Source organism: Homo sapiens, chromosome 3 (genome assembly GCF_000001405.40).
Source record: "Homo sapiens chromosome 3, GRCh38.p14 Primary Assembly".
NCBI lineage: Eukaryota > Metazoa > Chordata > Mammalia > Primates > Hominidae > Homo > Homo sapiens.
This window is the reverse complement of record NC_000003.12, coordinates 128,368,643-128,381,559: the sequence shown is the minus strand read 5'-3', so window position 1 is coordinate 128,381,559 and position 12,917 is coordinate 128,368,643. Positions and strand designations below refer to the sequence as shown.

The 12,917-nt window shown below is 51.0% G+C and overlaps 1 protein-coding gene across 9 annotated transcripts in view, besides 1 other annotated feature; it reads right to left on the bottom strand.

The window, feature by feature from the left end:
- Positions 1–12,917, bottom strand: part of EEFSEC (eukaryotic elongation factor, selenocysteine-tRNA specific) — a 272,743-nt gene that overhangs the window by 44,664 nt on the left and 215,162 nt on the right. The window contains exon 7 of one of the 9 annotated variants that reach the window (NM_001437811.1): positions 10,435–12,493. The exons of the other annotated variants lie outside the window; for them this stretch is intronic. Coding sequence (NP_001424740.1) covers positions 12,432–12,493 — 62 coding nt within the window. The 3' untranslated portion in view covers positions 10,435–12,431. Of the gene's footprint in view, positions 1–10,434; positions 12,494–12,917 lie in introns of those variants that run through there. 9 annotated transcript variants of the gene reach the window in all.
- Positions 12,218–12,718: an enhancer, noted in NCBI's record as "H3K4me1 hESC enhancer chr3:128087685-128088185 (GRCh37/hg19 assembly coordinates)". NCBI's record gives its function as "activates a minimal SCP1, AML or CMV promoter by ChIP-STARR-seq in naive H9 embryonic stem cells {active_cell/tissue: H9 hESC(naive)}" and the evidence as "EXISTENCE:reporter gene assay evidence [ECO:0000049][PMID:30033119]".

The following is a 12,917-nucleotide window of genomic DNA, read 5'->3' as shown; positions in this document are numbered from 1 at the left end:
GAATGTACAGATCTGGGGCTCCAGAGCTCTGGCGCTGTTCAGGCCTAATGGAACTCATCCTGGCCTTGACCCAAAGCCTGTTCTTGCCTCATGAGACATCATCCCACTACATGGGGGAAGGCCCAGCCCCCAAAGCCAGTTTCCAAATCTTTGACCTGATCATTTATTTCTAGCAATCGGCAATCATCCCTTTCTAACAACAATAAAGATGACCACTCAGGGAGAGGGCCAAATATACACCAGCCGCCCAACCCATTCATCTCCACTTGCTTCCCATTTCCTCTTCACAGGCTGCAGAGCTGTGAACCAACTGCCTGGTGGCACTTAACCCATGGTCCATTCAAACCCAAGGGTGTCTGACTCCAAGTCATGGATAGGAGGTGGTCTCTAGCAGGAAATCACATGGAGCAAGCCAGGGGCCTGGCTTTCCAACTAAATGCCCAGGTTTCCCTTCACCCCATAGCAAGAGCCAATCAGAAATCCCAGCTCCACTCTGCTTAGGGGAGGCCCAAAGATTCCCTGTCAAGGCCTGATATTCTGGGTTGATCCTAGGCCTCCAAGAAACCAGGCTGAGCATGAACTTCTGGGGAGAAAGCAGCTCTGATTATCAGATGGCTGCATCCATCACCTGGCGGGAACGGTGAGTCAGATAACACAGTGCTGGTGGGGGAGAGGCCGGCACCATTGGGGCCCCCTCCACCCACAGGTGCACATGTCCCAGCACCAGGTGACCCTACTTGCCTAGAGAAACCCTCTTATACTGCTCTGCATTGTGGAGACGTGGACACAACCCACCCAACAGGTCGCAGGTGTACAAATTGTTTAATTCGGACTATGGGATAACATATAGCAGTCAAATGGAGTCAACCAGAACCGCTGACCAGAACAGCAAGTTCCACAAAGAAAACATCAGTGTTCTAATAACACCTGGGTCAGTGTGAAACCAAGTATGTAAAACGTAAAGCACGTACGAACCCTCCAGGCTGCTCAGGAGGCCACCCTATGCAGGAAAAGTGTGAAAGCTGCACATGTGTGTGAGGCCACCAGCCGAAGAGAGCATGGTGGAGGGCTTGAGCTGTACATTTCACTTCCCCCAAACAAGATAGGGGAAGGGTGTGAAGAGAGGTGAAGAGAGATTGAAGGATGTGACAAAAAGTTCACATCTGTCTGATCTTGCTGGTTACAGGGCTGTCTACTGTACTCTGTATGGTGAAAGTTTTTCACAGTTCAAAACAAATTTTATTTTTACTTTTAGAAAATCAAATAGTGATGAAAAGGGGATGGGATAACAGGGGAGGTAAGATATAAAAGCCTCAGGTGTGCTCCTGGGCAGTCTCTGTCTAAGCATGAGGCTCTCGGGGCCTCGGCTCTTGTCCAGTGGGTATCGGGGTGCCCACCTCAGGCAGTCATCACGAGAAATGGCACCAAGCACCTTGCACCCAAAGCACCTAGAGTCCAGCCAGAGCTCTGTGGTCAGGCCCTGCTGTAGACACCCACTAATGACATGAGACCAATAATCGCACCTTGCTCCCTATACCTTACATGCCAGCCTCAGAAGCCATAGGTCAGTCACCCAACACACAGGGGCCGAGGCCCTACTATGTGCCAACACAAGGTGGAGCATGTGTGGGCCCAGAGAGGCTGGCCACATGACTCATTCTTGGGAGTCCCTGGGCATTCATCCACCTCTGTGATGGAAAAGCATTGGGTGTGTGGGGACAGCTGACGGGACCCAACCTCATCTGGGGTGAGGGAGGGGCTCCTGGAGAAAGCTCTGTGACCCCACGAAGACACTCCTTCTTGGAAAGTCCTCAGTTTCCCTTTTGTTTCTGTACTTCCTTCTCAATCATTCCCAGATCACAGGGCCTCCGATTGCCGCAAGGAAAGATACCCCTAGACAGCCTCTTCCTAGGGGCCCCAGAGACATGACAGCCACAGTGAAGGCCCTGGCACCGCCCTGTGTGACATGGGACCATGCCCAGGGAGAGGCCAGCCAGCAGATGGTTTCTGTCCACTAGGCTGTGTTTATGTTAATTGCAGATATTTTTAACGTATTGTGTTACTCCATCCATCTTTGTGAACGGTCCGTCTTGTAAAATTCTTTTAATTATGTTATTTTTTCTTGCCTATCTTCATCATCTACAATTATTTATAATATCATTGTCTTTGTTTCAAACGCTGGGTATAAACACTGTTGTAACAGTTCTTCGATGGGGTTCATATAATTTTTACAATTGCTTTGAAATGCTTCAATGGCCAAAGCGGGAGGAGGCTGGCTATTCATTTGGGGAAAAAAGTACACCCCGAAGTGCTCTCTGCGCTTGGTAAAGGTGCTCCTCCGTCAGGACGGCTTCCAGGAGAGGCTGGCCCTGTCAGGGCATTCCTGCACTGGGTGGGGGTTGGCAGCAGCTAGCTGGCTGCTGGATTAGGTTTCAGAGCTGCCGTCCCTACAGACACTGGGGCAAGATCCACAAAGGGCAGTGGCGGGCTAAGACACCCAGGAGAAAGATGGATGGTTTGTTTTCATTTTTACAGGGATTTTCTGAAACCTCAACTTTCACCCCTCACCTCTCTTCAACTCTTTTCTCCCAACCAAGCTGTTTTCCAGAGTCTCCCTGGCCGACCAGTCAGCTGTGTGGGACAGAACCCAGTGGAATGCCCAGGATTGCCTGTGGAGAGTTTGCCCTCACCTCAGGGGTCACAAGTACATCCAGACTGCCCTGACAAAGCTGGCTTCGGGCCTCCCTGTGGGACGGGAGTGGGATGAGCTGTCTGGGAACAGCCAGCAACTTGGAGAAGTCAGCTGTCAGAGTCAGGCTGGCCTGCAGCTGGGGCCAGCAGCCAGCCTGGGGGTGTCAGGCACAGGAGAGAGGGCTGCCTGAGTCCTGTACTGGCTTTCCCACACTTGCCATGAACTCTCAGGGGCTCCTACGAGCAGCTCACCAGGCCCCCAGACCACTAGTACCACCACTGTCCACAAACACTCCTCCATCCTAGTTCCTCTGCCCAAAGACCCTCAGTGGCTCCCTGCTGCCTGTAGGTGGGCTTATCTCCCTCCTTGGTCAGTGTGCTAGGCCCTGGGGATGCAGTGGTGCACAGATCCAACATGATTCCTGTCCCAGGCGGGAGGTCACAGGCTGTCCTTGGATTGATCAAAGACTGACTCTTCTTTTAAGGCTCTGAGAAACCTCCCCTACTCTTCTGGGTGGTGGCTCCCTCCTGAAGGGCCTCAGATGGAGGAGGACTGTTGGAATGCCCACATATGACAGGCCCTGGGTCTGGGCTCTGGGTTCGTGACTCAGCATGGGGCCAGTCACAAAGGGCATCTGGATGAGAGATGCAGGTGCTGTGAAGGACAAAAGCCATCTTGGTAGAGGTGCCTCTGGATTGCACAGGGTTGGGGTGACGAGTATACACTATGGAGATCTGCAGGTCAGAATCCAAGAGGTACTCTAGTCCCCAGTGTAGGAGGCTGAAGTGGGAAATTTTGGCAGACAGTCATAAAGATGCCAGACTGTGAACTGCACGTTTTTCTCCACTTATCTTCTTCTTCTGAATCTCTTTAAAGAAACTTGGATATGGCAAAATGGTTGACTTTACTAGTTATCAAAGAAATGCAAATTAAAGACACTGAGATGTCATTTGCCATGTAGGAAAATAGCAAAGATAAATAACACAGGGGAGCCTGTGCTGGTGAGGGGTAGAGAACAGACACCTTCACCCACTGCTGATGGAAGTATAAAATGGCACTGTACTTTTGGGAAACACTTTGCCAGGAACTCTTAAGAACTTTTTAAATGTCTGTGATGTTTTCATTTTAAAAATTAGAACAATTCAGCTTCTGAGGCTCCATCTTAAGAAAATACCCTACATATTAAAACAGAGATTTATAGACAGAGATGCTTCCAGCAATGTTATTTACAAGAGATGGAACATCCACAGATGCTTAGGTAGCCCATTAAGGCCTTGGCAAGGTTGGTTACTGTTACGCTGCATTGAAAACAATGGCCACATGACTGAACACAGCTCTTGCTATTGCTGAGTGTTGCATGTGCTTTTACATTTTACTGGACATTTATATCTTGGAGCATCTCCACCTAGGGCACATTCGGTATCCATTTTACAGGCGAGGAAACTAAGACTCAGCGAGGCCTGCTTGGTTATCTAGGTTGTAGACCTGGTAAGTAATGGTGCTGGGATTCAGACCAAGCTCTGTCTGAGCCCGGAGCCCAGGCTCTTAATCACTACGTGGTTCAACTTCCCTTGGAGACCACAGAGTAAAACAGTAAAAGAAAAAAAAAAGTTTGTATAATAAATATTAATTGAAAAGAATCAGACACAAAATTGTATACACCATATCTCAATTACATAAAAAGAAGGCTTTGCAGAGAAAAGACGGAAGAAACTAAGTCAAAATATTAATAATGGGACTATGGGAGACTTCTTTTTATTTTCTTTAACATGCAAATCTCCTTGAATGACTATTACTATTATACTTCTAGGTTATTAAAAAAACAGTTTGTGAGGTTTTTTTCAAACCAGTTTGGATGGAAACAAAAGTCTGGGGCCAGGCCATGACCCCTGAGTGAGAGATTGTGCCGCTGCTGGGCACGAAGAAGCCATGGGGCCTTCTTCCCCCAGGTGACAGAGGGAAATTAGCCCACAGTGTGAGGGTTCCCCAAACCTTTGGGTGCAGAACAATCACCTATTCCTGACCTAGGTTCTGACATTAAATCTTTCCTCTTTCACAAGAATCATGAGACACTGCTGACTCTGCTGAGACTTCTGAGTCCCAGTTAGGCACTGGTGAATCCTGATATGCTCACTGCTTGGCCAGAAGGATCATCTTTCCACCACACAAGTCAGTGTGCCAAGGCTAATGAGGATGAATGATGTATTTGCAACTGGGATGGTCACTGTTACTGGGGAGAGGAACAGTTTTCAATGGCTGAAGGGACAGAGGTCCTTCAAATCCCACCATGAACATACCTGACAAAACACAGCTTACCTGGGGTCTGCCAGCTGATGGGTGGGACCCTGGAGACACTGGGAGACTCAGTCCAGCCCTCAGCCTAGAGAAGCTCACCTCTGGGGAAGAAACCCCAGCAGTCCAGAGGGCTCAGGAAGCGAAGCTGGCCCAGAATGCTGCGGGGCCCTGGGAAGGGCTGTGGCTGTGCAGGTTAGGGTGATGATGATGGTAAGGCCATGCCAGTGGTGAGGAAAGCCCAAGCACAGTGGGCATTCCTGCTTGCAGCAAACACCTGCTGTTTCCGCCTACTTCTAGTAACAGCCCCTGGTTTTCCTTGGGGATGCAGGGTTGCAAAAGGGTGCATCCTTGGTGCCAAGAGGAGCACATGACCCAGGCTGGCCAGAGAACTGTGCATGCCCCAGGCTCCTGTGCTGGTCTGGGGATGGTGTGGGGCTCTAGCACTTTGGTGGGGTTACTGGGAAAGAGGCACCCTACTCCACTGGACTTGCAGCTGGAAGACCATCTATGGAGAAGCCTGGCTGGGACAGCTGCCTGAAGGAGGGCAGGGCTGAGTCCTGGGATCAAGCACCACCTCTGAACTTTTTCAGGCACATGGGTCAATCTGAGGCTTCAAATACCCTATTTCTCAGCCCCATCTAGCTTAAATAAAGGGTGGTGTTCATATAAAGGGTGTGTGGTGGAGATCACAGGGGTTTGCCCACTCACTCACTCATCCAACAGTGAGCAGTGAGCATGTGCAGGCCACAGACTAACACAGCAAAGACCTTCCACTTGGGAGCACCTCCCAGCCCAGTCGTGGAATGAGTGTGGAGCCACCTGGGATTCAGAGCTCTCTGTCCAGGGAGTGGAGAAGCCGATGTGGCACTGGAAGAGATGCGCAAAGGAGGAGAACATTGAGGACCTGCTCCGTTTGAGAAGGACAGGGAGCCTTCCTAGAGGTGGCATCTGAGCTGAGGCCAGAGCACCCAGCGCAAGTGGCAGAATGAAGGAAAGCTGCTATGGGCTGCTGCAGGGCTAGGGCTGGAGGGTGGCCTGCGGTCCAGAGGGACAGAGGGAGGGGAGGCAGAGAAGGCTGGTGGGAGACCGACTGCGAAGCATGCCAAATGCCATACTAAGAGGGCACTGTCAAGGCAACTTCTGAGCATAGTGCCTGGTGTGGATTTGTGCCCATGGCGAGGGTGGGCAGGAGGTAAGGGGCTAGCAAGCAACAGCCACAAGAAGTGAAGTGCTCACCAGACAGACAGGTGCTGGAAGATGGCACATGAAGAGGCAGTGGCTTTACCAATCCCCAGACAGACACAAATCCTCACCACCAAAACTTAGCCTACACCTGATCCCCCAGGGACTGTCTGCAGCCCCTGTGAAGAGGAAGAGAAACACACTCGAACTCACAGGACAGTTCTAAGGGTCCAGGCACTTGGTACACATTTTCTTACTCCTCTATTACAATCCTGAAGGCAGGGACCACTCCTTTTTTTATATAGGACAAGGAAACTGCAGTTTAGAGTATTTCTTTAACCACCCCAAAGGCTGGGCCAAACCAAAATGGGAACTTCTGGAATTCATGTTGGGCCCTTAGCTCAGGGCCAGGTGGAACAGATGGACAAAAATGAGAACAGTCAGAGGCAGAGAACACAGGGCTAAGAGCATGAGCTCCAGTGCCAGATGGCCTGGGCTCAAGTCTCAGCTCTGGGGCTCAAGAGCTGTGTGACTTGGAGCACTTTCCTTTACCTCTCTGTGCTTCTGTTTCCTCATTTGCAAAATGGCAATTTCAATAATTATAATTCCTTCAGGTTTGTTGTGAAGAGTAAATTATATTATTATATATAATATGCTTAGAAAAGTATATGGCATACAGTGAGAAATATATTATTGTTTTTCATTTTTTTTAACAATTTCTAACTTTGATCACTGAATCATAAACATGGAGGAAAATCACGTCTCAGTGAAATTTCTGGCATTCTTTTATTCAGTGTGCCTTTATTGAGCCACAATTAGTGCCAGGAACTGGAATGGGGTCCCCAGTAGAAAGCCCCCTAGGTCTCCCCCACTCACCCACTGAGGCAAACTAAAGAAATCTGAGAGTGAGTAAGTGTGTCCTGACTGAATGGCCCACACTCAAAGGTTGATGGTGAGAAAAGCTCCAGGATGACTCTGAATGTTGGCCATAATAACGAAAAACAGTGGGAAAAATTGTAGGTACCTGACCAGTAGGAGATGGTGAGGTAAGCACGGTCCGCTTACACAAGTCTACAAGCACAGCCCTTGGAGGCGAGGGGAAAACATGAACAGCAGCCTCTGAGGAAGCCCCAAGGAAAGCAGCAGTATGACCTGGGGGTCTGGTGTGGTGTCACGTCCAAAAGAGCCACACAGTCGATGACAGCACTGGGCACCGATGGTGCATCTTCAGGTGCTGGACCCTGGGTGGGCACTTCATACTCATGGTTTCCAACTGCACCCTCCAGAGCTAATGATAGACATCAGCACTGCCCTTGCATGCTGCAGAGGGGAGTGCAGCTCAGGGAGGCAGCGGGGCTGGTCCAGGTCTAATGGCCAGTGAAGGAGGTGGGCCTTCAACTCTCACTCCCGACCATGAGCCCTTCCCAGCCTGGCCAAGTGACATGTGGAAAGTGCTGGAAGGAAATGGAACCAAAAGTCCCTTGGGATGCTACTGGGGTGAGGAGACTGTGGGTGACTTTTTCCCCAGATTTTTAAGCTTTCTCTCTAATGGGACTGTGAAATTTTATGGGTGAGAATTGGCTTAAGATATGCATGTGATACCTGGATCTTTTTGGTTAGCCCCCTCCAGAGCTGACCCACCCCAAGGACAGGAGACTGGATGAATAGAGCCCTGCTGGGAAGGGCTTGGTATAGGCACTAGCCTGTATCTGTGAGGAGGTTGTGTGTGGATAGCAGAGCTCCCTGGACATGCACGTGGTGATCCCAACCTTCGAGCACTAAATAAACACCAGGTCACAGGAGCCCCAGCTAGGGGTTGCTCACCAACCAAAGGCTCGCTGCTGCTGTAGGTCCCTGGCTAACTACCCGGCAGCAGTGAAACACTCTGGCCCAGGGCTAGATCCTGTGTGGGCCACAGAGGTTCCCTGGAGACAGGTTCCAGGAGTGGCCCTGGGTGCCTGAGCAATCCAATGGTTACCTGTAGCTCATCAAGTGCCATTCTAAACTCAGCTGACTCTGTGGCCAGGTGAGAGAGCCCAGGTGGAGGAGGCAGGCAAGAGCAAGGTGGGCCCAACATCCACACAATGGGTGCCAGGTTCTCTCACTCGTCCCTGCCTGCCTGGCTCCACATTGCACGGAACTCCACACTCCACTGGCTCCCAGTTCTCTTTCAGCATAAAGTGCTGGGGCTCTGCAGTCAGACAAAATGGGGTAAAATCCTGGCTCCTCCTCCCTTTCTCAGCTGTGCGACCTCGTGCAAGTCATTCCACTTCTCAGGGCCTCATCTTGACATTTGTACAGGGCAGATCAGTGAGACGCTCTTCAGGAAACACTCAGCCTTGGGACTGCTCTGTACATGTTTTCTATAGGTACAATTACAGGTGTTATTGTTATTACTCCCCTGCCTCCTCCTCAGACAGGAAGGAAGCCAGGAACAACTCAGAGGTTTCATGGAAGTGACATCTACAGCAGCAGTGGCTGGTGAGCACCAACCCTCGCTAGGCGCAGCTCTAAGCACTGCTGTGAATACCTTGTTTACGTATAGTCAGGGGCCCAGCACCCTTCACCCTAACCTGTTTGTCCCAGAGAGGGCTGCTGTGCTGTGGTCACTAAAGGCAGTGTGGTCTGTCAGACATTGGGTGAGTGACGACCTACTAATAGTGCCCACCTCAGGGGGTGCTGAAGGAACAAAAGAGTGGATTTCTACACTGTAGTGGATTTCAACAAAGCATGTCAGGTAGTCTGGCACACAGCAGGAGCTAAATGAACATCGGCAGTAACAGTGGTAGTAGTGGCAGAGCATGCTGGAGCACCGTCCTGCCCCAGGCCCTCTGTACCCCCAGCACCTAGCCAGGAAGGGGTTTTCCTCCCCTTGCTAGTGACTGTGATGACCAAGCGTCTCTGAACACATGGTAAGTGTTGTGGTGAATCCAAATCATGGGGGAATTTGGGGCAGGGAGTTTCCTGCTGCTGGCACATGTATTTAAAGGCTTCAGGGTTTTAGGCCCCTTGACCAGCTGCCATGGCAGTCCAGGGCATGGAGTATCAGACACAAGATCCACAGAACTGCCCAAGCCAAGATCATCCACGATAGAACATGGGCCGGCCTCTGATTTCTGGAACTTTCTCTCAGGTATCTAAGATTGCTGGTGGTTTGCTAAATCAAGACTTTCTGGAGAGACCCTCCAGAGACAGCCAATCGCAAGTTCCACTTTCCACTGCCTAAAATGTTAATTGTTTTATCAGTTCACTCTGCTGACTTTATTTAGGTAGGATAACTGCATATGGAAAAATACAAATTTTCCCTAAAACTACAAACTGGCAAATCTGGAAAGTTTTAGAGAGTCCTAAGCAAAGAGAAATAGTTCCCAAAGAAAAGTTGCATTCACTGTGTAAGGGCCAGTAAAGATCCTGCACTCCTGGTCCGCACCAGGCTGGACAGAGCCTCCCTCCTCTCAAGGCCACTGGGCCCAGAGCTCAGGGCCCCCCACCACCAAGCACCCAGAGACCTCAGGATGGATGAGGCACTGCCGCCGGGCCCCGGCCCCTGCAGGACCACTCTGTCCTCTCTTTCCCCATGGCCCTGTAGGGCCCCTACCATGGGGCTGGGACTCTGGGGGCATGCCTAGGCCCTCCTTGCTGGCCAGAGGCTGCCCACGAGGCCTGGGGTAGAATCTATTCTGGACATCACCCTCCTCATTCTGCACCCCAACAGGTTCTGGGGTGCATCCTGCCCCTCTGCCCTCCTCCCCATGTGCCCACTGTCCAGCCTCAGGCCTTGGCTTGCCCCCTCCAACCAGCTGCCAGACAGAGCTTTCTGACTGTGTTCCTCCCTGCACACCAACCACCAGTTCCTTCTGCCACTTGCTTAGACCAGTGGTTCTCAACTGGGGGATATTTTGGTCCCCAGGGGACACTTGGGAACATCTAGAGAAGTTTTTCATTGCTGCAACTTGGGTGAGGCTGTACCTAGTAAGAAGAAGCCAGGGATACCCACAAACACCCTGCAGGGCACAAGGCAGCCCCACAGTAGAGGATGGTCCAGCCCCAGTGTCAGCAGTGTCGATGGGAACCCTGTCTAGACAAAGGCCAGATACAAGCATGGAGGCCAAGGCCTTTCGGGAGTAAGCTCCTCCTCCCCTCCTCCCCATCCATCCAAGGATGAGCCTCAGGGCTGGATTTGAGGTGAACAGCAAGGAGGCTCCCCAGGGCCTCAATTGGATTCCATGAAAGACTTCGGGTGAAAAAACAAAGAATTCCATTGCTTTTAAAAAAAAAACTGCTCCAAAACCATCATTTTATATATATCAAAGGAGTTAATAACATATACAACACTTAGAACAATGTCCTACTCATTTTAACAAGCAATGAATATTAGTTTCTATTCCATATTCCCAGAATATGCCACTCTTTCCATCCTCTGTGCCCTAGCACACTCTGTTCCTTCTGTCCTGAACACCCTTCCTCCCTTTTCTCCCTGGGGAAATCTCCTCACCTTCAAGACAAGCTCAAGCCTCACTGCATCGGTAAAACTTCCCACCTTCACTCTGGAAGGGAGCAGTCACTCCATGCTCTTTCTCCAAAGCCCTGTAGGGCCCCTACTATAGTGCTTGCTCCTTTCTGTAACATCTCCACCCAAACGGTGCCCCCTGGGATGGGCCTAGAGCCAGTCCTCTGTGCTCAGGTCTGATGCTGGTCACAGGGAGAGGGGCAATGGCTGAAACAGAGCTGGGCTGGGGAGAGAGGGTGGGTGGTCGGGGAGAGGGAGAAAGAGAAGGCTTTGGGGGAAGTAGCAGCTCCTCTCCTCCCTCCACAGGCCCTGGCTTAGCCCCATGGGGATATGGGAGAGGGGTAGGATATCCCTAGATCTGGCTCCAGAGAGTCAGCTCTGCCTCACTGCTGCCAGACCGGGGCCTTTACTGTAACTTCCCAAGGGACCTGCTGGTGCCCCTCCTCCCAGGCCACAGAGGCATCCTGCATGGGGCACAGCTGCTGAGCTATGATACCGGTGGTGAGTGTGGGCCGCTGCACTCCCTCCACACAGCTATCTCTGGGCCTGGGCTCTGTCTTCATCACCTCATTGAACCTCCTAACAACCACCTTCACTAGTGGTCAAACCTAGCATTGCCTATGATGGGCAGACATCCGGATAGGACACACTAAGGCCCCGAAATCACCTCTGTAGAATTCCTTCCAAAAATGCACAGCCTGAACCCAGTCATGAAGAAATATCAGACAGACCCAAAGAGTGCACTGGGAAACAACCAACCTGGGCTCTTCAAAAACATCAGTGTTGTAAAACTATTGGTGGCAGCACTGAGCGCAGGTGCCACCTTTCACTGACTCCTCAAGCATGGAAAACTTCCTAAGACACTATTGCGACAGTTGGGGAATCTGAAAATGGACTGTATCCTAGACAATGTGGCATCAATGTCACATTTCTCCAGTGGTAACTGCGTTGTGGTTCTGCAGGAGAATGTCCTTGTTCCTCGGGGACATGTGCTGAGGGTGCAGGCACAGCAGCAGCACCAGGAGGAACCCTCAGTCGGCTCGGCGCACAAACAAAGCAGACAAGACAACACGGAGCAATTGTTGAAGCCAAGGGAGCAACACTGCTCAATAAGCTTTCCACTCTTCAGTATGTTTGAAATTATTTAAAAAGCTAGGAGGGAAAGTCCTCAAGATAACCCACCTTACTGATGAGGAAACTGGGATTTTCAGAAAGGGTAGCATTCTAGCCAGGATTCCAACACAGGTCTGGCTGCCTCCGAAGCTCTTGTTCTTTGAAGGTACCCTGCTACCCACATCCCAGTGTGGGCTGAAAATGCCAAGTGTGCACAATACCAGCCCTGCCAATGTCTCTCAGTAAAAGTTAATTTGGTCCTGGCAGGGGCTACTTTCCAGGCAGCTGGCTGGTGGTGCTAATGAAATCCCAAGGACAGGTTATTGGGGTTGCCCCAGAATCTGCTCCAAACAGAGCAGCTGGATGGTTGGAGAGAGCACATTTTAAAAGAGAAGAAAGCCAGTTTCATTTCAAACCCCAGAGGAACACACAGCCTCACAGCCCATTGTCTGAGGGCCTGTTATTTATGGGAACATAACAATATCCACAACCTCAGGGCTCATCGTGTCCTGTCCCTTTGGCACCAGGATGTGTTTTCACTTTTGCTCTATGCTGAGTTTCCAGAAGCCTCCCAGCTAAGTGGAACCATGGGTGATGTCCACTTCCATTGGGAACTTCAGGGTCTGGTGGGCCAGTCATCTAGCTCCTCTGAGCCTCACAGTGCCTTTGGGAGAAACAGGGCGATGGCCTCCTCTTGAAGGCTGCAGCAGGAGGAAGAGACGGCACATTAAGGACCTGGTGCCAACACAGAGACCACACATTGTGGCCCAACTGAGAATGGGAAGATTTCATGTAAAAATACAGATATCCAGGCTTTCTTGAAAAATTGGAAGTGGTAATGCCACCGTGGCTGTGCTACAGCCCAGCAATACGGGCATGGAGCTCAGGGGGCCCAGCCCCTTGGGTTTTCAGGCCTGGACTCCGGCACGTGTCAGGCTCATGCGGTGCAGGCAGATGAGGGAAGGGGCTGGCAGCCCACTCCCAACGCCTGCAACATGCTGGGCATCCTTGCACACTGGTTTACTCCTCACAGTCCTTCAAGACAGGATTGTTACCCCCATTTTATCAGATGAAAACCGAGGGCTCCAAAGGCAGTGAGCTGACCCAGGCCCTTCAGAAGGATTA